The 25,991-nt window shown below is 35.5% G+C and overlaps 1 long non-coding RNA gene across 4 annotated transcripts in view; it reads right to left on the bottom strand.

The window, feature by feature from the left end:
* LOC105370467 (uncharacterized) overlaps nucleotides 1-25,991 on the bottom strand; it is a 186,853-nt gene that overhangs the window by 132,760 nt on the left and 28,102 nt on the right. For all 4 annotated transcript variants that reach the window (XR_007064132.1, XR_007064130.1, XR_007064131.1 and 1 more), the window contains exon 2: nucleotides 10,908-11,092. This is a non-coding gene — a long non-coding RNA (uncharacterized LOC105370467). The remainder of the gene's footprint in view (nucleotides 1-10,907; nucleotides 11,093-25,991) is intronic.

The following is a 25,991-nucleotide window of genomic DNA, read 5'->3' as shown; positions in this document are numbered from 1 at the left end:
GATCTAATTAAGCTAAACAGCTTCTGCACCGCAGAGGAAGCTATCATCAGAGTGAAGAGACAACCTACAGAATAGGATTGCAATCTATCCATTGCAAGTTTTGCAATCTATCCATCTGACAAATGTCTAATATCCAGATTCTATAAGAAACTTAAATTTATAAGAACAAAACAAATAACCCCATTAAAAAGTAGGAAAAGGATATTAACAGAAACTTATCAAAAGAAGACATACATGTGGCCAAAAAACATATTAAAAAAACTCAACATCACTGATCATTAGAGAAATTTAAATCAAAACCACAAGGAGGTACCATCTCATACCAATCAGAATAACTATTATTAAAAAGTCAAAAAACCACAGATCTTGGCGAGGTTGCAGAGAAAAAGGAATACTTTTACACTGTTGGTGGAAGTGTAAACTAGTTCAACCATTGTGGAAGACAGGGTGGTGATTCCTCAAAGACCTAGAGGCAGAAATACTATTTGACTCAGCAATTCCATTATTGCATATATACCCATAAAAATATAAATCATTCTAAAGATATATGCACATGTATGTTCATTGCAACACTATGCACAATAGCAAAGACATGGAGTCACCGTAAATGCCCTTCAATGATAGACTGGATAAAGAAAACATGGTACATATACACCATGAAATACTATGCAGTCATAAAAAGAAACGAAATAATGTCCTTTGCAGAGACATGGTTGGAGTTGTAAGCCATTATCCTCAGCAAACTAACACAGGAACAGAAACCAAATACCACATATTCTCACTTATAAGTGGGAGCTGAATGGCGAGAATACATGAACACATGGGGGAACACAGCACACACTGGGGCCTGTCAGGCAGGGGTTGGGTGAGGGAAAGCATCAAGAAGAATAGCTCATAGATGCTGGGCTTAATACTTAGGTGATGGGATGATCTGTGCAGCAAACCAGCATGGCACTCATTTACCTATGTAACAGACCTGCACATCCTACACATGTACCCCTGAACTTAAAATAAAAATTGAAGAAAAAAACTTAATTTTTTTTTTTATAAATCTCCTTGTCTTGTCCAGGCTTACTTCTCTGGCTTCATCCTCTGCCACTATCATCATTGATTTGGAGTCTCTACATTTCAACTATACAATCCTTCTTTGGGGGATTTGTAGAAGCTGTGCTCTCTCCTTGAGCTCTCCCCACATTGACTTTCTTCCTGTAGTCAGTGCCCACACATCCTTCCAAACTCACTTCAAAAACCATGTCCTTAGAAATAAACACTGAACCCCCTGATTGGTTTGAGCCCTCTCTTATACATTTTTATACGACTGAAAACCTTTATCTGTAGCAATTATTTTAGTTTAAATTTTGCTATCACTTGTGTGGTCTTTTTCATTATTTATCGTGTTCTATTCTGTAAGGTCCACAAGGGTTGATTTTGCAAACATTGTATTCTTAGGACACATTTTGTTGACAGGAATGTGGTAGGCATTAGATCATATGTTAACTCAACCTATTTGACAGAAGTTGCAAAACGTCACTGCTTGGCCATACCCTAACAACTGCGTATCCTCTATCTCAAAAAAAAAAAAAAAAAAAAAACTCAATGAATGACATCCTTCCACAGCTCCTTATTGTTTACTGATTCTGTTTAAAATAGATAAAAGAGCTAGATTTAGCTCGTTCTCCACTTATCATCTACATTTATACATGCACCACAGCAGCCGTAACTTCTAACTGGGCCTCAGACTCCTTATATTACTCTCTGTTGGGCTCCTGCCTATCAAAGCAGAACTGGCACACAGGAGATCTCACTATCACTAAGCTGTAACATCAGTAGTGTACACATACTTTTCAGACACATATTTCTTGCTTAGAAATTAATTACTACTGTTTTGTTTTTTAAAAATCAGAGTACAATTTGATTAGTTTAATATTAGTAAAAATAAAGGATATCTCTCTTAGATGAAGTTGAGTTGACAGATGCATGATTATCACATGTATTTGAAAGTAAAATATTTACATTATCTGAGCATTAAACAAGTCATCATGGCCTTCTCTTTTTAAGGAAATGGAAAAATGTAACAGTGATTAGTGGCATTAATTCTGGATTAATTAATGCCATTATAATGGCATTAATTCTGGATTAATTAATGCCATTATAATGGCATTAATCCTGAATTAGGGGGTGGATCAGTAGATCTGGTGGACTCATCCCCAACCAAGGAGTTGTATTGAATTTCTCTCCCTGTGTCGAATCTCTTATGATGGAGAAATTTACAATATGTCAATGCTAAAATTATAGTAATGTCTAAAATGGTTTATAACATCCAGAATAGAAATAATATACCCCAATTAGGTCCCCTAATTTTCCCCAATATTTTTACCTAATGTATGCTTTCAACAAACATATTGAGCTCCTTAACTTCCATGAAACTGAGAAAAACTTCTTTATCACACAGATAGCACTAGATAACATATTACAGAAATGTTCACTACACAAAACGTCTAAGGATATTACATTAAATTAATTAAGTGTAATTAATCAAACATTAAATAAACAGTTTACCAAACATCTTTTGTCTCAGGAAAAGGGGTCTTATCACATTTACCATATATTTACATAAGTAGAAATAGATATGAAAAGCCATTGATGATTTAATATTGTATTACAATGAGTCTGGAGAAACAGCAATATTGCAGTTACAAAGATAATATTTCATCAATATTGTTTTTCAAGTTTCCAAGTATCCTTGCATACCTCTGAAATGACAAGGTACATGTCTTCTGTCTGTTCTATCTACTCTGATTGCATCATTAGGATAACTAGCTCCATGGGCCAACTATAAGGAAAGAACAGTAAACAACACATTTTCTAGTGCTATGCTGTAGAAATATGATCAGCTCTCGGTGTTCCCTTAAGAGTGCTACTCTGTTTTATTTTTTTTAATCAATCAATCATTGTCCTAAGAACACATCTTATTCTACAGTTATTAACATAGTGTATTTTTGATTTCTGATGTGGGCTCATAATTTTTTTTGAAGTTGCCCTGAGGCATATTTTTCCACCAACTTGGTGATATCCATTTAATGCTCCATACACAATCGCCTCATCCTGCCCCCATGTTTCCATGGCTTGAGCATAGATGTCTCAGTAATACCTTGAATATACAACTGTGTTTCCCAGGAAATGGTTATTGTACTTTCTCTTTTCCTAAAGGCATCCTCATAATTGTCTGTTCTAAAGATGCATCTGGGATACACGGCCCCATTATCACCTTTATTTTAATTAAGTATCTTCATTTCCTTGGGTTACTTCATGGACTCCATCTGCTTTTACACTGGGCAATTTGACAAAGCAGAGTAAGCTTTGGCATACCAGGCAAGCTGTAGCAAAACATTACTCCTCACAGCTGTGGAACTACCTCAATGCAGTGCCACATTGAAGCACAGTCCCATGGTACATATGCCCCACTATTTTACAGTCTCTAGCCTGTGAGAATCAGAGGTAAAACTCCTACAGATTTTCTGAAAAATGGCTAATGTATGAAACATAACCCATATACTATGCAGCAAATGAAAATTCCAAACCAGTGGCATTCATTCTGATCATTAAGGAGCAATGAAAATTTATTTTTCAAGTAAATTATCAAATTATACATTAAATTATTATTAAAAGATCATAAATTAATTCAATCCAATGGCATTTGGAGGAGAAAACAATGTTGATAATTTTCCTACCAGTAACCATGACTTGCCTCTAATTCTACATTAGAATTATGTAACTTTAAATTATTTTTAAAAATCAGGTAATTTAAATCATTTGGTTAATTAAAATTAACCTGCCTTACAAAATTTTACAAAGTTTTTTCTTGTCAGTGAGAACAATGTCAATTCAGGTTTTCAATAAATATTATGCCATTTTTCTAAAATGACAATTAATAGAAAAAATATATAAGTTAACAAGAAAACACTTTATTTTGAGCAAGTGTTTTTAAGTTATCAAAAGTAAATGCCTATGTTTCAAACACTATATTGATTATAAAAACAACAAACTAATAACATTTAAACATTAAAAAGATTAGATAGGAGAAATAAATATGCCCATAACCCCTCAAATAGCAGATAATAAATATTTATTTTGTTTCTATCATTTTTTCTGCATGTTATTTTCCTTTTTTTTATGTAAGTTAACTTTGTTTTAAATCCTATTTTTCCCACCACTAGACTCTGAGCTCCTTATAATGACAGTAAATGTTCCTCTGAAACACGGTTATTAATATCTGCATGTTATTTTAGACATACAAATATACCATAATTTTTGTTTGTTTGTTTGTTTGTTTGTTTGGAGATGGAATCTCGCTCTTGTTGCCCAGGCTGGAGTGCAGCGGCGCAATCTCCGCTTACTGCAACCTCTGTCTCCTGGGTTCCAGCAATTCTCCTGCCTCAGCCTCCCAAATAGCTGGGATTAGAGGCACCTGCCAACACGTTTGGCTCATTTTTTTTTTTGTATTTTTAGTAGAGACGGGGTTTCACCATGTGGGCCAGGCTGGTTTCAAACTCCTAACCTCAAGTGATCTGCCCGCCTTGGCCTCCCAAAGTGCCAGGATTACAGGTGAGCCACTGCGCCTGGCCTACCATAATTTTTTAACCCAATACATATTTTTAAAAAATAATCTTAAAATGTCTTCTTCCCCAATAATACATGATCTTTTTTCCAGTACTCTGGTGATTTCTTATTTGCTGCAATATTTCTTCCATGGTGTTTGCATGTGACTAAATAAGCTTACTTACATAAGGAAAGTATATGTTTCTTGATATTAATGAGGTAAAGAAAGATGGCTAGTTAAGGTAACCATCTTAAGGACTTTATTTTTAACTTATGTTGAACCTCATTTTTTGAAAAGCTAAAGCTTATTTTGCTCTTTAAAATAGTGTTTTATCTGTTCAATAGATAAGCATAGTCACAATAAGTGCAACGTGATTCTATAGAAAGGTTATTTCAGAAATACTAAAGAAAGCCATCTAGCCCATTATTCCTTCAGATGGGGACCAGGATGAATTATTAACAACCACAGGTGTCAAGGGAAGAGATGAATCTGTTTTTAAAAGTTGATGCACAGAGATAAAAATATTCTTAAGTCAAGGGACTCAAGGGACATTTGAAAAGTATGTTCAGACATCTGAGAGCTCAATACAGCAATTCAGCTTTAGCAAATATTCACATCAGGCCTGTGCTGTATGATTTAGTAAAGGAGTTAAAATCAGGAAGACTGATTTCACAAAATGTTATAATTTCCCATCTTGAAATTGTCCAAACAATTCAGCAAAAGAGAATTTGAATCCATAAGAGGTTCTGTTTAATATATTGATCATTTCTGCATAAATAGACCAAGTGACTCAGGATAGTAAAATCAGAGAGCTTTCTTAATATTTGTAAATATAATTTAATTATTTCTTACTAATTTCCTTGCCACAAATACCGGTGGTTAAATTTAGATGTCATCACTAAATACTAACTTAACTTAGTTTCCTAATGTGTATTACTTCAGGTCAGGATGCATTAAAAGCTCCCTAAATTTGTAAAGGCTCAAATCCAAAAGATTTGTTTTTATGTTTACAGAACAGAAGAATGTTTGGTGGCAGTAACGTAAGCGATCTTCAAAACATGCCTTAGAAGTTAGTTCTGGGGGGTTTTATACTGTTCAGCTAGAAGAGGAAAAATGAATGAAGGAGCATGGGGGCTGTTTCGAGAGTTCTGCCTGGAAATATGAAACATCCTGTCTCTTCTATTTCATTAATTAGAACTCAATTTCAGGACAACATCAGTTACAAGAGTCGTGAGAAAATGTGGTCTAGTTGGTTCACAGAAGAAAAGGAAAGAGATATTTTAAAATAATTAGCAGCCTTTGTAACAATATTCAAAACGAACAGGCCTATATGAAAAAATGCTAGCTCATGCCCTGTGTCAGCTTTCTAAACAAGAGTTCTTCATGACTAAATTCTTATGAATTTCAGTCAATACTAATGTTTTCAAAAGCCCAAAAGTCAAAACTTCATGTACATTCAACTTACCTGAAGTTTAAGAAAACAGTGTAAATCTTACATGTGAGATCCTCTTTTTTGGAGCTAGATTCTCCATTTATCACACACACACAAGTTAATTCAGATACAAATGACCCAGGGACCAAGTTAAAATGGAATTAGAGCTCAGAGACTTTGAGTGCTTGCATCCTTCCTTATGGTATTTTGTAACTGTCAAATTTAGTGAAATGCTTTCCCCATAGTAAATTCTTGAATAATAATTGCTAAAATAATAAATAAATGTTTGGTTTAATTTAAATATAAATTATTAAAAATGTAATACATGGACTTTTTAAAAAGGCATCTCTGCTACTTATGAAGTTTTTCATGTGATCAAGTTACATAATGCTCTGGGCTTCATTATCTAGGCCTGTCAAATGAGAATTATATTAACTTTTATGGTGTTAAAAGTATTAGAAAAATATGTATATGCAATGTTTTCAATGATATTTGAGAACATTTTAAGTATACGAAACACAGTGATTGGGCTAAATATTTGGAAGTGGGGAGAGGAGAAGAGATTTTTTTCTCACTCAAAAGATAGATTAACAAGAAAAAACATAAACGTTTATGTAACATAAGTTTTATGTAACATGGGACACTTAATAAATGAAAACCCAAAGAAATGTGGAAATCTGTGTATTTGTGTGCTAAGTCTGATGAAGTGAATAGTTGTGGAGAAATATTATTCAAGGACGAAAGAAAGTGGCTTAATAGTAATAAACTGGTGGAAACTTAACAGGGCCTTCTCATCTAGATTCTTCTTCGTATTCCTGTGTCTTCAAAAATAAGAACATTCCTCTTGTTCTTGCATGGGATGGGCACCTCTGAAATGAAGGTCTTATGACCAACTTTAGAAGTAGGTCAGCTAGGTTTTATGGCCTGCTTTAAAGGAGAAGGGATGAAGAGAAGGTAAGACAGCTCTTCCTGCATCTGCTGTTTTCTCAAACATCAGGACACCGTAATTGTGGGGTATCATGTTCTTATTTCCATCAGCAGATGTGGTCTGATGTTAATTTTGCAAGCTTACACAATCAACTTTATCTAAGATTCTATTTTTTTTAACTACATAATGAAATAGCAAATATAGATAAAGTGGAAAATCTCTTCAATTCTGAATTCTAGGATTGTATGACCTTTCTAAAAAATCATGTTAAATGAAATAGAATTATATGTCAGGCAATGAAATCTGTTTTTCTTATGAAGTAACAACATTTTAAAATTTAACAGAAAATGAAGTAGTATTAAAATTTAAAATGTCTAATTAAATTTAATTGAAGCTATATAATTCAAGGTAAAACAAAGCTATTCTTTTTAAATTTTATTTTATCTTTATAATATAGTATTTTGAAGTCACCACAATATCTTTGATGAGTACCTGGTGTCCTATGGATATTTTCCCCTCCAAATATCAGGTTGAATTGTAATTTCCAGTGTTGGAAGTAGGGCCTGGTAGAAGGTGATTGGATTATGGAGGCAAAGCTCCCATGAATGGTTTAGCACCAACCTCTTGATAAGTGAGTTCTTGTACAGTTAGTTCACATGAGATCTGGTTGTTTGAAAGAGTCTAGGACCTCCCCCTTCTCTCTCTGTCTTTCTCTTTGTCTTGCCATGTAATGTGCCTGCTCCCACTTTGCCTTCTGCCATGATTGTAAGTTTCCTGAGGGCTACCAGAAGCAGATGCCAGGACCACATTTCCTGTATAGCCTACAGAAATGTCAGCCAATTAAACCTCTTTTCTTTATAAATTACCCAGCCTCAAGTATTTCTCTATAATGAGGCAAAAACAGAAAAACACATTACCATGAGTTACAAATAAAAAATATTTCTACCAACAATTTCCAGATTTATAAAATAATTTCAAAGTTAAAATTATGCTTAATATACTTTGCTGGAATTATTAAAATAATGATGTACAAGTCATGTTTAATACAGTCACTGACCCCAAAAGCTACCTGGTATTTGAATTGCCCTTTCAAAGGCCAGTACCCAGTATTCTCAGTCTTTTGATTTTATCATCTGCAGAAAATATTGCTGGAGGGAGTACATACATAGTTTACTTTGGAGTTGTGAAAATGTAATCATGTGTTCCTTCTCTACTTCCTTATAATCAGAACGACTCAGTCTATATCATTGCTGTTTGATTTTATTTACTATCCAAGTGGTTTACAAACCCACATCATATACACTATCCCTACTATTCATGTAGTTAAAATTTATTTTATTAGACATAGAGGGCACTCAGAATTGCTTCTTTGTTCTGTAACACAATTGATATTTCACTAAGCTTTCTATAATATAGTGCCACTCACTGTATAACTACTATATGTAATATTGTAAATCACCATATATATATATCCATAAATATGAAAACTATATATCTAACTTTAAAAAGCCACAATGTGACATCACATTGGTTACATTTTAAGTATTTAATACAATTTATTTTCATACATTGACTTTTACAACAGGAATCCTCTTATTATAGTTTGTAACCAGATCATTTATTAAGATATGTGTAAAATGTATGCTTCAAGTAGACCTAGATCTATAGAAGATAAGTTGAATATAAATCATAAAATACAGGCCAACCCTTTATGAAAAACATATCTCATGTGGAATAAAGAAATAAATTCATATAAAACATATGAAAGATAATTCAGGGCATTATTTAATAAATCAGTGAAGTAGGTAGCATTACCTAAAATCAGGACAATATTTAAACATACATAGTGTATGAACTAAGTAAGATATGGGCAGGAATTTACGTTTGCTTTTTGTTATCTTTCAAGTTCTTAATATGTCTAATTTGCAATGCTATAGTATTATTCAGTGACATTCATCGTACCTGCATTATTTAAAAATGTTATTTTTTTTTCCTAAAAAGAGTAATTTTCTAACTGCTCAAAGACAGGTGCAAACATTCTTTTCCTGCTACTTTCCCTTAACATTTCTTTCTTATTTTACTTCTGTCATCATCAGTAGAGAGTGCAATTTCAGTGTTGACATTTTAGTACAGTGACAGGTGCAGAAAAGTCATACAATAAATATTTTTTGAAAAACCTAATTTCCACTCAAAGCGTTTTATTGTGTTTAGTGTAATTTGAAATAACTAGCTTTATATTTGATTTTTCATTACTCTTCATTATTTTTCATTCATTTCTACTTTCAAAATGTAAAATAACCAAGAATTTTTTGGTAAAATTTTTGTGTATTTTTACTTCTTTGCATTTCCTTTGCCAGTCCTGATTTAAGCTCATTTTTCCTTGTATCTTCATTACTGTATGCTTCCTGAACAAGGTAATTTCCAAATATTGACAACTCTTCTCTACCTAATATCCCAAACATATGAAATTTGCCATGCAACTCTCAATCAGACAACCAACAAATATTTTGGATAATTACATTATAGAATTAAGCCCCTGTCTTTATACTGGGACTCAAGATGCTTACAGATTTTGACATAAATTTAAAATTCTTTTTGGAGATCCATTTATTTTCTTCCTAATGTGACTGTGCTCCATGAAGCATGCCCATGTGGCAAGGCCTCCTTATCAACCACTTAACCTTCACTCTCATTATGATTATTGCATACTTTTGCCTTCTGTTGGTTAAGCACTGTCAGCTGACCCCTACTGTTTTGGGGTTTTATCATATCTTCTGCTATCTTCAAGTCAAGTTCTGTGGTAACTTTCCAATGGAATCAGCCCTTTCCTACAAAGGAGAACATCTCTGATCTTTTTAGTGTTATGGGTGCATCTCTCCATGAAAACCGTACGCTTTTAGGAATAATTTGTCCTCTGAGCATTCTGATGGAACATAATATTTTACCGCATCTTTCAGCTGTAGATAGTGTATTCATTCCAGCACGTCCAATTCCTTGAGCCTTTTATTTCCTCCCTTCACCATTTCATATTACAACTTTGGTATTTCAACTTTAATCAAAACTAGTTGTTACATTTTTCATTCTTTTAGGAGCCATCCTAGCAGTGAATTCATACCATTTCCTTGGATCCTTCCTAGGGAATTAAATTCTGTAATCTTGGGAGAGTGTTTGAAATCAATCAACTCCCCCCTTTTCAATTTTATATGCTGGTGTCACTGAACAAGCACGCTTAGAATCTACTCATACACATATTCCCCCTACCTAGGTTTTCTAGCTCCTTTGAAATAGAGCCTTTTCCTCTCTCATCAGACTTTTTGCATCCTATTTATGTCATACTGTGAATTAACCCTTATTATAGGCGTAATGGACAGGGGGGAAGGTGGCCCAAGGAGGCCACTCAACTTTTGTGAAAAACCCTTTGCATTTTGTTTCCTCAACAAATGGATAATTCTAGTTCTTGAAGGGAAAGGTAGATTATTTCTGCAGGCTCAGAAGTTGTAGTTTCAGTGCCTGAGGAATCAAAATCTTTGGAAACATTTACCCATATAACTTCATCTCATGTGTCACAGTTACTAGTGTTCCCTACCAGTGCCCTTTGGTAAAGTTCAACCACTTAGCCATTATTGTGTCTTCACCATGGGCCTCAGATTTTTTGCCTTTCTGAAGAAGGCAGTAAGGTCTTTATTTGCCTTACAAAGAAACCCTCTGGCATTCACTGTTGGTTTTTAATTACTTTTAAATTTTCCTCAGTTTTTCATTATTTTTTGTTGAGTATTAGCGCAGTTTAGCAAAAAGCATCCAATTCCATTGTCTTTGCATTTGCAGTTATCTTTTTTTCCCAAAAAGTTTGAAGTGCCAGATATACCACACTTCTTAATTCTGTTTTTCCATCAACTTCTACTGTCCCAATTCATCAGCAATGAATGTTTTTACAACTGGACTTCTACCTTGTGCCAGAGGCTCTTGGTAATAAGGTTTTCAATGCCAGTTGTGTCAGGTGTGATCCAGCTCCAAAACCTCGTCTCATAACCGGTTCGTGGGACCACTCCCAAATTCACATACGGCTGCTGTGTTTTCTGGAAGCGAATGCAGAAATGGAGCTTCTGGTGCAGGATTGATTTGGAATAAATATCTGCAAAAGAAGGCGGAGGAAATAGGTTAGAGCAGAGGGACAAGTTAAAACATAATGCAGTCCAAGCAAACCACAGTCAATCTGTCAGGAGTTGCTCACCTGCATTGTCTTATATTGAACTGAAAGCACTGGACATTTATACCCTTGTCTTCCTCAGTCATCAGAAGTAGGCTGCTCCTGAGAAGAGCATGTCCTCTAGGCAGGTAGCTCTCTGCAGCTGAGGCATACACTAAGGGAGCTGAGAGCTGAAGGCTGTCTGCCGACCTCATTTCTTCACAGCCGGCCAGCAAATCTTCTCTTGAATAGGCAGCTACGTTGTGTGCTTTGATGTCAAGCACAAAGTTAACTCAAAGCCGTGAAAACAGCCAACAATTAACATATGGGAAGAGGAGGATAATTAGGTAAGTTGAATGTCTAAGAGGGTGCAAGTTTTGAGGAACAAGAGATAAATTGGGTTTAAGAATAAGGGATTAGTACAAAGACTCCTATTAAAAGTAGTTTTAAATTTTGAGAAATACATGTGAATGATAGTTCATGAAAAGGCATTGAAAAATAGGAACCAACAAAAAAAAATTAGTATATTTGAATCTAAACTCATAATTCCTCACAACACAAGCCCACATTTCCCCACTTCCACAAAAAAGAAACCTACTTTTTCTCACCCTTCAGTAAATTGGATCATTGTCCATCAATTTCTTCATGCTAAGTAACCCTGGGTCATCCTTAAATCTTTCATATTTCAAAATGAATCAACGAAAATTTTCTGTCTCAGGTATATTTAAATGTCACTGAATCTGTCCATCTTCCTTCTTTACCAATGTCACTAGTTTAAACCCTCACTGTTTCTCACCTAACTTTGTTCCCTTCCTCTCTAATTAAATCCTCATAAGCTGTTCTTTACTATGTAGTATAACAGTTTTCAACATTCTCGGGCTTATTGTATTAACTCGTAAAGCCAAAGAGCTTCTGTGGTGTAATGGTTAACATTGAGTGTTAACTTTATTGAATTGAAGGATGCAGAGTATTGTTCTCGGGTGTGTCTGTGAGGGTGTTGCCAAAGGAGATTAACGTTTGAGTCAGTGGACTGGGAGTGGCAGACCCACCCCTAATCTGGGTGGGCACCATCTAATCAGCTGCCAGCTTGGCTAGAACAAAGCAGGCTGAAGAAAGTGGAATGAGCAGACTTGCTGAGTCCTCCAGCCTTCATCTTTCTCCCATGCGGGATGCTTCCTGCCTTCCATCATCAAACTCCAAGTTCTTCAGTTTTTGGACTCTTGGACTTATATCAATGATTTGCCAAGGGCTCTCAGGCCTTTGGCCACGGACTGAGGACTGCACTGTTGGCTTTTATATTTTTGAGGTTTTGGGACTTGGACTGGCTTCCTTACTCCTCAGCTTGCAGATGGCCTATTGTGGGACTTCACCTTGATAGCAGTCTATCAATATTGTTTAATCTTTTGAAGAACCAGTAAGTAGGGTTTTTAGATTAAAACTTCATTTTTAACACATTGTAGTTCTATTTTGGCTGTGTTTGTATCTTCTCTCTTTCTTTTCCTTTATTAATCTAGCTAGCATTCTATCAATATTGTTTAATCTTCTGAAGAACCAGTGAGTAGGTTTTTTAGATTAAAACTTCATTTTTTAACATAATGTAGTTCTATTTTGGAAAATTCATTGATTTTTTAACATTACAATTCTACAATTAAAATGTGTAGAACAGTACATATTTGCCAAAGTCATTTTGCTATTTTAAATAGTGTTTTATAATTTTAATTTGCTTTTAAATAACCCTGTAATTTAGGGTAGCTGTAATAATAAATAATAAATTTAAAGGTAATAATAAATATCAATGATAAATGAACAGAAATACTTTCTATGAGCATAAAATATTAGACTAGTATAGCCACGAATTCAAGAAAATCCAGTTAAATTTAATTAACATTATAATTATTTCCAAATAGTGTAGCATAAAATCAGATAGAAGAATGACTATATTGCATTAAAGTCATTTTAAAGCAATACTGTATAATACTTTCTAATCGAAACATTCTTACGATAAATCTAAGGAAAACCATTTTTATTGGAAATATCTTTTACCAACCAGCTTTTGAAATATTTCTTCATCTCTTACCAATCCACTAGTGTAATTTGTGATTAAAAATTATAATAGTAAGATGTCATTCTAAGAATTAGTTTAAAAAATAGAATCCTCATATAAATTTAGTTGCTTAAAAATAAATCAAGAAATTGTGGAAAAGGATATCACTAAACATTTTGGAAAATTTTGAAATATTATACTCACGTAATCATCAGTATAATGGCAACAAGATAAAAATAGACATGACTTTAATTTGCAAAGCAGAAACTTCATCAAATTCTACCTTGCTTAGAGAAAAATCATTTAAGAAAATCACATCAACATAATGGCAAAATGAAAGTAGTTGTAAATATCCATTTAAAAACTCTCCACAGATTGAAGTTCTTCCATCCATGTGGCAGATACATAAAAAACATGAATCATATATCAACACTTATTCTGGCTTTTGACACACGGACATTTTTTATTATTATGTGGTTTAACTATAAGTCTAACTCTTAGAAAGATATATATTGATTTGCCAATCCTGAAAATCAGTTTTCTCAACAGCATTTTGACTTTTATGAAAGAATACACTGATATGTTTTGTATGGATCAAGTTTGCAGGACTTCATATACCCATTGTTTGATCTGAAATAATATATTTTCTGAAACTGCAGGTGATAGGGTTTGGCTCTGTGTCTGCACCCAAATCTCATTTCAAATTGTAAACTCCACGTATCAAGGGTGGGAGATGGGAAGCGATTGGGTCATGGGTGAAGTTTTCCCCATGGTGATCTCATAATAGTGAGTGAGTTCTCACGAGATCTGATAGTTTTATGAGGGGCTCTTTCCCTTTCACTTTCCCTTCTCTCTCCTGCTGCTATGTGAAGATGGTTTTTGCTTCCCTTTCTTCTTCTGCCATGATTGTAAATTTCCTGAGGTCTCCCAAGCCATGCAAAACAGTGAGTCAATTAAATCTCTTTTTAAAATAAATTACCAAGTCTCAGGTATAGACTTTATAGCAGTATGAAAAATGTCTAATAAAGTAGGCCTGATGGGCAATTATCTGACTGTGTTAATTTTATCATGGAGAATGATGTACTATAGGAGCTTTTAAAGGGAATGAACTGAGTTAAAATAACATACTGTATTACTTCTCTCAAGTTAGTTTATGTTACAATTGAACAAAGAGAAATTGCAAAATGCTAAAGGCAATTTAAGTCCAGTATCCAGAATTTTGCATATAAAAATTAATAGAAGGCTGATAATGAAACTGGCAGAAATAAACTTGTTTTGATTATCTAAGTTGTACCTGGGTGGTTATATCTATTATTTCAAGAATCCTCTAGAACTTTTGGTATTATTTGTTAATTCCATTGTACGGAAAAGAAAACTCAGAAAGATTATACTAATTTTGCCAAATCACCAAAAAGTGAACAGTAGATATATAAAGGAACCCATTATATGTCTGGTTCTAAAATTCATTCCATTTTCACCGCACCAATTATTTTGTAATTAATTACTATGATTAATATGTTAATGCCAACTATTCCTAAACCTGGGAACTTCATAGGTAATACTTCTACAAAGTAAAATTAGTGTTTTAATCTCACTGTAATAAAGATTCAAGGTTTACTCACTTGATTTAGAATGAAGGTTTCAAAGTCTTGACATTTATTATAATTATTTACTCTTGTAAGCAGCTCTTTCTGACATGTCTTCTGGCCACTAAAATTAAGTGTTCCTTAAATACTTGGTACTCTAGAAATGTCAATTCAACTATAGTTTTGAACAAGTAACAGGAAATTGAGTAGAGGAATAATAAAGGGGAGTATTGGGGGGATGTAATTAATGTTAATTTGATGACAAATTTTATGTAATATAGGTTGAATAGATGAAAACTAATGAGGCAGTGGGAAAAAATGAGTGGAATAAACAGTTACTTTAATATCTAAGAATACAGATTTTTGTTTTTAACATTCAGATCAGATAATCAGTAGTCATTTGACATGTCATTATTAGACAAGAAAGACTGACAACTGATGACACTGTTCCAATGTTTTGCATTATACTATAGATTTTCTCTATCAGCAAAGTCTCATCTGAGACAAGGCAAGTCCATTCTGCCTATGGACCTGTAAAATCAAAACCAATTTTGTTATGTCTTAGATAAATGGGCATATAGGCATTGGGGAAATACACCCATTTCAAATGGGAGAAATTGGGGTACATGCCCCATGCAAGTCTGAAGTCCAGTAGGGCAGCCATTAAACCTTAAAGTTCCAAAATAATCTCCTTTGTCTCCGTGTCTCACATCCTGGTCACACTGATGCAAGAGGTAGTCTCCCATGCTCTTGGACAACTTTGTCCCTGTGGCTTTGCAGGTTAAAGACCCCTACTGGCTGCTTTCACAGGCCAACATTGAGTGTCTGTGGCTTTTCCAGGTGCACAGTGCATGCTGTCAGTGGATCTACCATTCTGGGGTCTGGAGGACGGTGGTCCTCTTCACAGCTCCACTAGTCAGTGCCCCAGTAGGGACTCTGTATGGAGGCTACGACACCACATTTTCCTTCTGCACTGCCCTAGCAGAGGTTCTTCGTGAGGGCCCCACCCTGCCACAAACTTCTGCCTGGACACCCAGGTGTTTCTATACATCCTTTGAAATCTAGGTAGAGGTTCCCAAACCTCAATTCTTGATTTCTATACACCCACAGGCTCAACACCACGTGGAAGTTGCCAAGGCTTGTGGCTTGTGCTCTCTGAAGCCATGGCCTGAGCCGTACCTTGGCCCCTTTTAGCCAAGGCTAGAGCAGCTGGAATGCAGGGCACCGAGTCCCTAAGCTGTACGGAGAACGGTGGGGTCTGTGCCTGGCCCACAAAACCATTTTTTCCTCCTAGGCCTCTGGGCCTATGATGGGAGGGGCTACTGTGATTGTCTCTGACATACCCTGGAGACATTTTCCCCACTGTCTTGGTGATTAACATTTGACTCCTTATTACTTGTGCAAATTTCTGGAGCTGGCTTGAATTTCTCCCCAGAAGATGGGTTTTTCTATTCTATTGCATCATCAGGCTGCAAATTTTCCAAACTTTTATGCTCTGCTTCCTCTTGAATGCTTTACTGCTTAGAAATTTCTTCTGCCAGATGCACTAAATCATCTCTCTCAAGTTCAAAGTTTCACAGATCTGTAGGGCAGGGGCTAAATGCTGCTAGTCTCTTTACTTAACAAGAGTGACATTTACTCCAGTTCCCAATAAGTTCCTTATCTCCATCTGAGATCACTTCAGCCTGGTCTTTGTTGTCCATTTTACTATCAGCATGTTGATCCAAGCCATTCAACAAGTCTCTAGGAAGTTCCAAACTTGATTACATTGTCCTGTCTTCTGAGCCATCCAAGTCTCTAGGAAGTTCCAAACTTTCGCACATTTTCCTGTCTTCCTCTGACCACTCCAATCTGTTTCAATCTCTGTCTGTTACCCAATTCCAAAGTTGCTTTCACATTTTTGGGTTTATTTACAGTAGTGCCCCACTACCAGTACCAATTTACTGTATTAGTCTGTTTTAACACTGCTAATAAAGACATACCCTAGACTGGGTAATTTATTTAAAAAGAGAGATTTAATTTACTCACAGTTCAGCAGGGCTGTGGAGGCCTCAGGAAACTTACTATTATGGTGGAAGGGGAAGCAAACATGTCCTTCATCACCTGGCAATAGCAAGGAGAAGTGCAGAGCAAAGTGGTGGGGGAATCCCCTTATAAAACCATAAGATCTCATAAGAGCTCGCTTACTGTTTCAAGAACTGCATAGAAGTAACCACCCCCATGATGCAATTACCTCCCACTGGTTCTCTTTCACAACACATGGGTATTATGGGAACTACAATTGAATATGAGATTTGGATGGAGATATGGCCAAACCATATCAACGCTTTCTCAAAAAATGTAGCAATCCTTCTCATTATGAGCCTTATAATTTGAGACAGTGACTCACTCTGTCATCCAAGCTGGAGTACAGTCATGCAATCATGGGTCATTGGGGTCTTAAATCCTGAGTTCAAGTGATCCTCCTGCCTCAGCCTCCTGAGTAGCTAAGGTTGTGAGCATGTGCCATCACAGCCAGCTAATTTTCACATTTTTGTAGAGAAGGGGTCTCACTATGTTATCAAGACAGGTCTTAAACTCCTGGCCTCAAGCAATCTTCCAGCGTTGTCCTCCAAAAGTGCTGGGATTGCAATCATAAACCACCACAACCAGCCCTTTATACTTAAAAACATTTATAGTGGTACTTGATGTCTTTAAAAATCTGAGACTGAAACATTTTGTGTCTTATATAGTCTTAAGGTAAGGACAGTCATAGTTTATCAATGTATATTGCAAATGCTTTCGAGACTTTTGTAAGTTTAGAGGCCTATGAGATTCCTTTTAATGTGCCCCTTGAGTTTCATCGCCTGGAAGACAGAGCTACAGCCCAATGGCTACTTCCAGCCTCCACCTGTACTAAAATAGTCAAGAGGCTCTATTGGGTCAGAGTACAAGTTATTCCATGACATTGGGTCCTAACATTATCCAGCATTATTTATCAAGTCTATCTGGCTCACTTCATTAATCTTCATCTTTCCATGCTGACTTATATCCCTTGACTTCCTCTTGAATAAGAATTTCTTCAAATCCGCTTATTCTGGAAAACAAATTATTTTCCACTAAGTATCACTCCTTAATAAAAGTAAGTTCAGCTTTTCCCATGATGTCTAGACATGTACCAATAGTCCATAAATGCAATTTTCATGCAAATTTTCACCTTAATTCCATCAATTGTTTTATATATATATGATATACATATTACATATGTAATATATATGTATTTTATATATATACATATATATACACAGAGAGAGAGAGAGAGAGTATATTGCCCATCTAATTATAGTCCTATATTAGGGCTTCATCAAGAGGTTTGAAATCACAGTGCATTGGGCTCCATGTGAAGAAGCATCAGAGAGATTTCTTCTCCATTCCTGGCCATTTTAACCACACATGTACATATGAATTTTAGTACCCAGCAAGGGCTCAGGCTAAGGAAACCAAGACTCTGTTAATCTTCAACCTGATTAATTTGCCCCTGTTGATTCCAGTTCAGATTTCTCACTGCCATCTTTGCCTTCTGGCTTTAAAAATATCCCAACCTGTTTGAACAGAATAGATTTGTTTCAACCATTAAATGTTGGGGGATCACAAAGGTCTCCTACCAGTCCATCTAACCTCTGACTTAAGACTTTGCTTGAAATTCATCAACATCCACTTCATTTTCATTCTTTCCTTAATTATCATTTAAGTATTTCTAGCTGCAGTCTTTGCCCTTTCTTGTGCTAATCACTCTAATTTTCTTAACATCTGAAAAACCCATAAGAGAATGCTGAAACAAAGGAGCTGATACGGCTGTTGGACTGTTGTTTGATTTTATAACAATAAGTTTACATGAGACACCCGTGCAACACATGCCCACTTAATCACAACATTTACAATGACCTGAGTAGGAAATATAATAAGTTGATAAACATCTTAATCATCATAAAGCTAATCCACCATGGCTTGTATTGTGGCATATAAGCAAATTCCTCTGGAGAGCTCCTCTTGGCATGTAAGAGAGAAGGACGATTTCCCTTCTCAGAGTTAAATGACTTTGCAGCAGCTTTTATCTAGTTCATTATGCTAGCTGATCTGTCATGAACAACCTGCTTCACTTGGACCATGTGATTCTTCAATACTAAGCTCTGGTCACCGAATCAACTCAAACTTTTTTCTCCATTTTGCATCATCTAAGACTAAGTAGTTGGCTCCTTTTCTAACTAGATGCTCTGGTGATTTTTAAACTTTCATCTGATTAATATTATTATTATTTTAGAAATGAAGATCTTCCTCTTCAATATGTTTAACCTGGAGATGTTCCATGTTTTATCACTTTAAATAATTAAATTATCCTCCAATCTTTTATATCCTGGTAACCCTTAATCTGGATTGAAGTATTTTGAGTGACTGTATCTCACTGCTAGCCGATTACAAGTAGATAAAACAGTTTATCATTTTTTTAATTTTAAAATTTTTGGAAAAAAGTTATTCACAAGACTAACCAACTCAAGGAAAAAAATTAATGAAGATATTTTTAAAGCTGTAAATTTTCTTTGGCCTAAATTCTATCCTAGAAAAAAACCATAAAATTATCTTAACTTTATACAGTAAATCAAACTGACATTATTTAGATTCAGGTGATGGTAACATTCTATATAAAACCAATTGTGTGACTATGTGAGGGCCCCCACTCTCACATTACATATTATCAGTGCCAGAAACAAAACAAACAAGCAAAAAATTTACTAAAATTAATAAATAACTTTGGAATAAGAAAATACATAAACAACATTTTCCCTCTGGGTTCAAAATGTTGCATCTACATACTCATATGAAAGCATGTAAAATCCTTTGACACAGGAGTCAAAACTCTAATCAAGTTTTTAGGTATGTGTTTCAAATTATTAATTTAAGAATAAAAGCATTATATAAATTTATTAATTTGTTGATCATTTTGGGGCATGACTTGAAATATATAAATTAAAAAGCAAGCATCTATAAAAATAATGCTAAATTCAGATTCACGATGGTAATCATAACATATTTTGAAGCTATAGATATTATTTGTAGTACAGAAAAACAAAAAATAAATTTTCTTGAAAATATTGCTGATAAAGCATTATGATATATAAATTACATTTGGAGAAAGTGGAAAAGCATCTTTATGATAGTGATGCTTCATATAGTATTTTTCCTTTATGAAAGTCCATCTTGTTGAAAGGGCTCCTGTAGCCATGAAGAGTTAAATAATTGACAACATGAATCAGGAAAAGCACAATTCTAGGAATAAGAAACAATCAATTTTATAGCACTTGTTTTCTACAGCCTCACCCAGATAGCAGAACAATTTGCACATCCCAGTAAATTAATAGACTAGGAGAAGTATCTATGTTTACACTGTGAAATTTCTGTTGTGTCAAATGCTTGTAATATTTTGTGAGGCCAAAAAGTATCTTCAGATTAGTTATAACAGAAATTCAAATTCTGTGATTTTTTTTCAATGTACTCAATGTGGATATTAAGTAATTTTGTACACATAATCTTGAGGAGATTAATGTACTTCTGCCACTCTACAGCTCTTAACATGCACTAAGGATAAATTTGAATTTCATTTGAACTGTGAGAGGTAAGTTAAAATATAAATGTCCATTGCCATTCACTATTAAGAAATTGATTTAGGCCAGGTGCGGGGGCTCATGCCTGTAATCCCAGCACTTTGGGAGGCCGAGGCTGGCGGATCACGAGGTCAGGAGTTTGAGACCAGCTTGGCCAACATAGTGAAACCCTGTCTCTACTAAAAATACAAAAAATTAGCTGGGCTTGGTGGTAGGCAACTGTAGTCCCAGATACTCGGGAGGCTGAGGCAGGAGGATGGTGTGAACCCAGGATGCAGAGGTTGCAGTAAGCCGAGATTGCACCACCACACTCCAGCCCGGGCAACAGCGCAAGACTCTGTCTCAAAAAAAAAAAAAAAAAAAGAAATTGATTTATAGCCTAGTGAACTTGTATCCATCTTTATTGCCACAATCCTTTTTTTTTTGTAGCCTCCATTAGATTATAAATTAATTTCATTTCTAGATTTGGCATAATTCTTGACATATGGTCAGTATTTTATATATATATATATGTATATATATATACACACACACACATACATATATACATGCACATATGTATACATACATATATGTAATGATATATAATACAGGATATTGTCTTGTACCTTGACTAACAACTTAGCTACAGGGGAGTAGAAAACCGAGTGGGATCTTATTGTCCCTGATTCCAGAATGTGACTCTTAGAAAGCATATCTGGACCTGCCCTGGGCAAGAGTGGAGTCAATTGGCCTAAAGGATGAATCTCAGGCCAGAAAGCACGTACCATAGGTCGAGTAAAGTGCCCGTGGTCTTTAAGGAATACCAATGAGCCTGGCAGTATTCTTCATGGGCCTACGGTGGTGGTGGCCATGGGTTAAGGCTCCTTTATGGCCATGGGCTGAGGCTCCTTTGCCTTTGGAAAGGGGAGGAAAAAGTGAGAAAGATGTGTCTTGTGGTTTGAGTATCAGATTTGCTGGAGTACAGTAGAATACCAGATAGACTTCTAAGATTTTTTGACTCTAGTCCCAGGCTCCTAGGCACCTCTGGACTCACCTGGGGACTGGGAAACTTGCCACCCTAAAAAGAACACATGCCTGGCTGGCTTTGCAACCTGCTGAGTGTAAAGCCCCAGGATCTTGAGAGAATGTAGGCAGTATCCAGGGAGTGGCTACAGCAGGACTTGGCCAAGACCCATTGCTGTTCTGGCTTCAGGTCTGACCCAGTGCAGTCATAGTGTTGGTAACAATAGGGGTGCTTGTATCACTCCACCCTCAATTCCAAGTGGCTCAGAACAGAGAGAGACTCTATTTCTTTAGGACAAAATAAGGGAAGAGAATAAGAGTCTGCCTGATAATCTAGAGTATTATTTGAGATCTTATTCAAGGCCATCTAGGTGGTAACTGTATGAGATTGAAAGAACCACAGTGCTCTTGGGGTGCCTCCTAAAGCAGATACAATTTAGATCACAACACTCAAGTTTTTTGAAATATCTGGTAAGCTTTCCCAAGAAGGATGGGTACAAATAAGAGCAGACAGTGAAGACTACAATAAATATTTAACTTTTCAATGCCTAGACACTGAAGAACATCTACTAGCATCAACACCATCCAGGAAAACATGACCTCACCAAATAATCTAAATAAGACATCTGGTACCAATCCTGGAGAAACAGAGATATGTGATCTTTCAGACACAGAATTCGAAATAGCTGTTTTGAGGAAATTAAAAGAAATTCAGGAAAACAGAAAAGGTTCAGAATTCTAACAGATATATTTAACAAACAGATTGAAATAATTAAAAATAATCAAGTAGAAATTCTATAGCTGAAAAAATGCAATTGGCACACTGAAGAATGCATCAGTGTCCTTTAATAGCAGAATTGGTTAAGCAGAAGAATTATTGAGCTTGAATAATTAAAAATACTATTAAAATACTATTAAACTATTTGAAAATACATGCAGGAGACAAAAGAAAAAAGAATTTTTTAAAAAGCATGCCTACCAGGAGAATGGCATGAACCCAGGAGGCGGAGCTTGCAGTGAGCCAGGATCGTGCCAGTGCACTCCAGCCTGGGTGACAGAGTGAGACTCCGTCTCAAAAAAAAAAAAAAAACAAAACAAAAAAACACACACACACAAACAAAAAAAAAGCATGCCTGCAAGATTCAGAAAATAGCCTTAAAAAGGCAAATCTAAAAGTTATTGGCATTAAAGTGAGAGTAGAGAAATGGATAAGGCTTATTTATTTAAAGTTTATTTAAATACATAGAACTTCTCAAACCTAGGAAAAATATCAACATCCAAGTACCAGAAGGTTATGAAGCAGCAAGCAGATTTAAGACAAATAAGACTACCTCAAGGAGTTTAATAAACTCTTAAAGTTCACATTTTTTTTTAAGAACTCTAAAAGCTCAGATAGTTGTAGATATGTGGCATTATTTCTGAGGGCTCTGTTCTGTTCCATTGATCTATATCTCTGTTTTGGTACCAGTACCATGCTGTTTTGGTTACTGTAGCCTTGTAGTATAGTTTGAAGTCAGGTAGTGTGATGCCTCCAGCTTTGTTCTTTTGGCTTAGGATTGACTTGGCAATGCGGGCTCTTTTTTGGTTCCATATGAACTTTAAAGTAGTTTTTTCCAATTCTGTGAAGAAAGTCATTGGTAGCTTGATGGGGATGGCATTGAATCTGTAAATTACCTTGGGCAGTATGGCCATTTTCACGATATTGATTCTTCCTACCCATGAGCATGGAATGTTCTTCCATTTGTTTGTGTCCTCTTTTATTTCCTTGAGCAGTGGTTTGTAGTTCTCCTTGAAGAGGTCCTTCACATCCCTTGTAAGTTGGATTCCTAGGTATTTTATTCTCTTTGAAGCAATTGTGAATGGGAGTTCACTCATGATTTGGCTCTCTGTTTGTCTGTTATTGGTGTATAAGAAAACAAGCAATGGGGAAAGGATTCCCTATTTAATAAATGGTGCTGGGAAAACTGGCTAGCCATATGTAGAAAGCTGAAACTGGATCCCTTCCTTACACCTTATACAAAAATCAGTTCAAGATGGATTAAAGATTTAAACGTTAAACCTAAAACCATAAAAACCCTAGAAGAAAACCTAGGCATTACCATTCAGGACATAGGCGTGGGCAAGGACTTCATGTCCAAAACACCAAAAGCAATGGCAACAAAAGACAAAATTGACAAATGGGATCTAATTAAACTAAAGAGCTTCTGCACAGCAAAAGAAACTACCATCAGAGTGAACAGGCACCCTACAACATGGGAGAAAATTTTTGCAACCTACTCATCTGACAAAGGGCTAATATCCAGAATCTACAATGAACTCAAACAAATTTACAAGAAAAAAACAAACAACCCCATCAAAAAGTGGGCGAAGGACATGAACAGACACTTCTCAAAAGAAGACATTTATGCAGCCAAAAAACTCATGAAGAAATGCTCATCATCACTGGCCATCAGAGAAATGCAAATCAAAACCACTATGAGATATCATCTCACACCAGTTAGAATGGCAATCATTAAAAAGTCAGGAAACAACAGGTGCTGGAGAGGATGTGGAGAAATAGGAACACTTTTACACTGTTGGTGGGACTGTAAACTAGTTCAACCATTGTGGAAGTCAGTGTGGCGATTCCTCAGGGATCTAGAACTAGAAATACCATTTGACCCAGCCATCCCATTACTGGGTATATACCCAAATGAGTATAAATCATGCTGCTATAAAGACACATGCACACGTATGTTTATTGCGGCACTATTCACAATAGCAAAGACTTGGAACCAACCCAAATGTCCAACAATGATAGACTGGATTAAGAAAATGTGGCACATATACACCATGGAATACTATGCAGCCATAAAAAATGATGAGTTCATATCCTTTGTAGGGACATGGATGAAATTGGAAACCATCATTCTCAGTAAACTATCGCAAGAACAAAAAACCAAACACCGCATATTCTCACTCATAGGTGGGAATTGAACAATGAGATCACATGGACACAGGAAGGGGAATATCACACTCTGGGGACTGTGGTGGGGTCGGGGGAAGGGGGAGGGATAGCATTGGGAGATATACCTAATGCTAGATGACACATTAGTGGGTGCAGCGCACCAGCATGGCACATGTATACATATGTAACTAACCTGCACAATGTGCACATGTACCCTAAAACTTAGAGTATAATTAAAAAAAAAAAAAAAAAAAAAGAACCCTAAAAGCAGCAAGAGAAAAAGGAAACATAAAATACAATGGAGCTTCAATACATCAGACAGCAGACTTTTCAGAAGACACCTTTCAGGCCAGGAGACTGTGGCATGACATATTTAAAGTGCCGAAAGAAAAAAAAAAAACTTTTTTAACCTAGAATAGTATATCTACTGAAAATATTCTTCAAACATGAAGGAGAAATAAAGACTTTCCAAGACAAACAAAAACTGAGGAGTTTCATCAGCATCAGACCTGTCCTACAAGAAATACTAAAGGGAGTAATTCAATAGAAAAGAAAGGGGCATTAATGACTAATAAGTAATCACCTGAAGGTACACAACTCACTGGTAATAGTATGTACACCACAAAAAAATCCATAATACTTTAACACTGTAACTGTGGTGTGTAAACTACTTTTCTACTAAGTAGAAAGACTAAATGATGAACTTATCAAAAATAAGAACTACAACAACTTTTCAAGAAAGAGACAGTAAAATCAGATATAAATAGAAAAAAAGTTACAAAGCAGGGAGAGAAAGTTAAAATACAGGCTTTTCATTAGTTTTATTTTTGCTTGTTTGCTTGTTAAAACCAGTGTTAAGTGGTTATCATGTTAAAATAATGAATTATATGATAGTAGTTGCAAGCACCATGATAATCCTCAAACTAAATATCATGCAACAGATAGAGGAAAAGTAAAAAGCAAGAGACTAAATCGTATCACCAGAGAAAATCACCTTTACTAATGGAAGATGGGAAGAAACAAAATAGGAAAGGGAAGACCACAAAACAACCAGAAAACAAATAAAAAAATGGCAGGAGTAAGTCCTTAATTATCAATAATGACATTGAATGTAAATGAACAAAACTCTCTGATCAAAAGACGTAGAATAGCTAAATGGATTAAAAAACAAGATTCATTGATCTGTTGACTACAAGAAACACAATTCACCTATAAATACACATATAGACTAAAAATAAAGGGATGGAAAAAGATGTTCCATGCCAATGGAAAAAAACCCAGCAGGAATAGCTATATTTATATCAGACAAAAAATATTTTATTTCAAGACAAAAACTATAAGAAGAGGCAAAGAAGGCTACTATGTAATAATAAAGACATCAATCAGGAAGAGGACACAACAATTCTAAATATATATGCACACAACCCTGGACTACTCAGGTATATAAAGGCAATAATATTAGAGCTAAAGCAAGAGATAGGCCCCAATATAATAACAGTTGGAGACGTCAACACCCCACTTTCAGCATTAAACATATCAAGACAGAAAATCTACAAAGAAACCTCAGACTTAGTCTGTGCTTATAGATCTAATGGATCTAATAGATATTTGAAGAACATTGCAC

The sequence above is a fragment of the Homo sapiens genome, chromosome 14, assembly GCF_000001405.40.
Source record: "Homo sapiens chromosome 14, GRCh38.p14 Primary Assembly".
NCBI lineage: Eukaryota > Metazoa > Chordata > Mammalia > Primates > Hominidae > Homo > Homo sapiens.
This window is presented reverse-complemented; position numbering and strand designations above follow the sequence as displayed.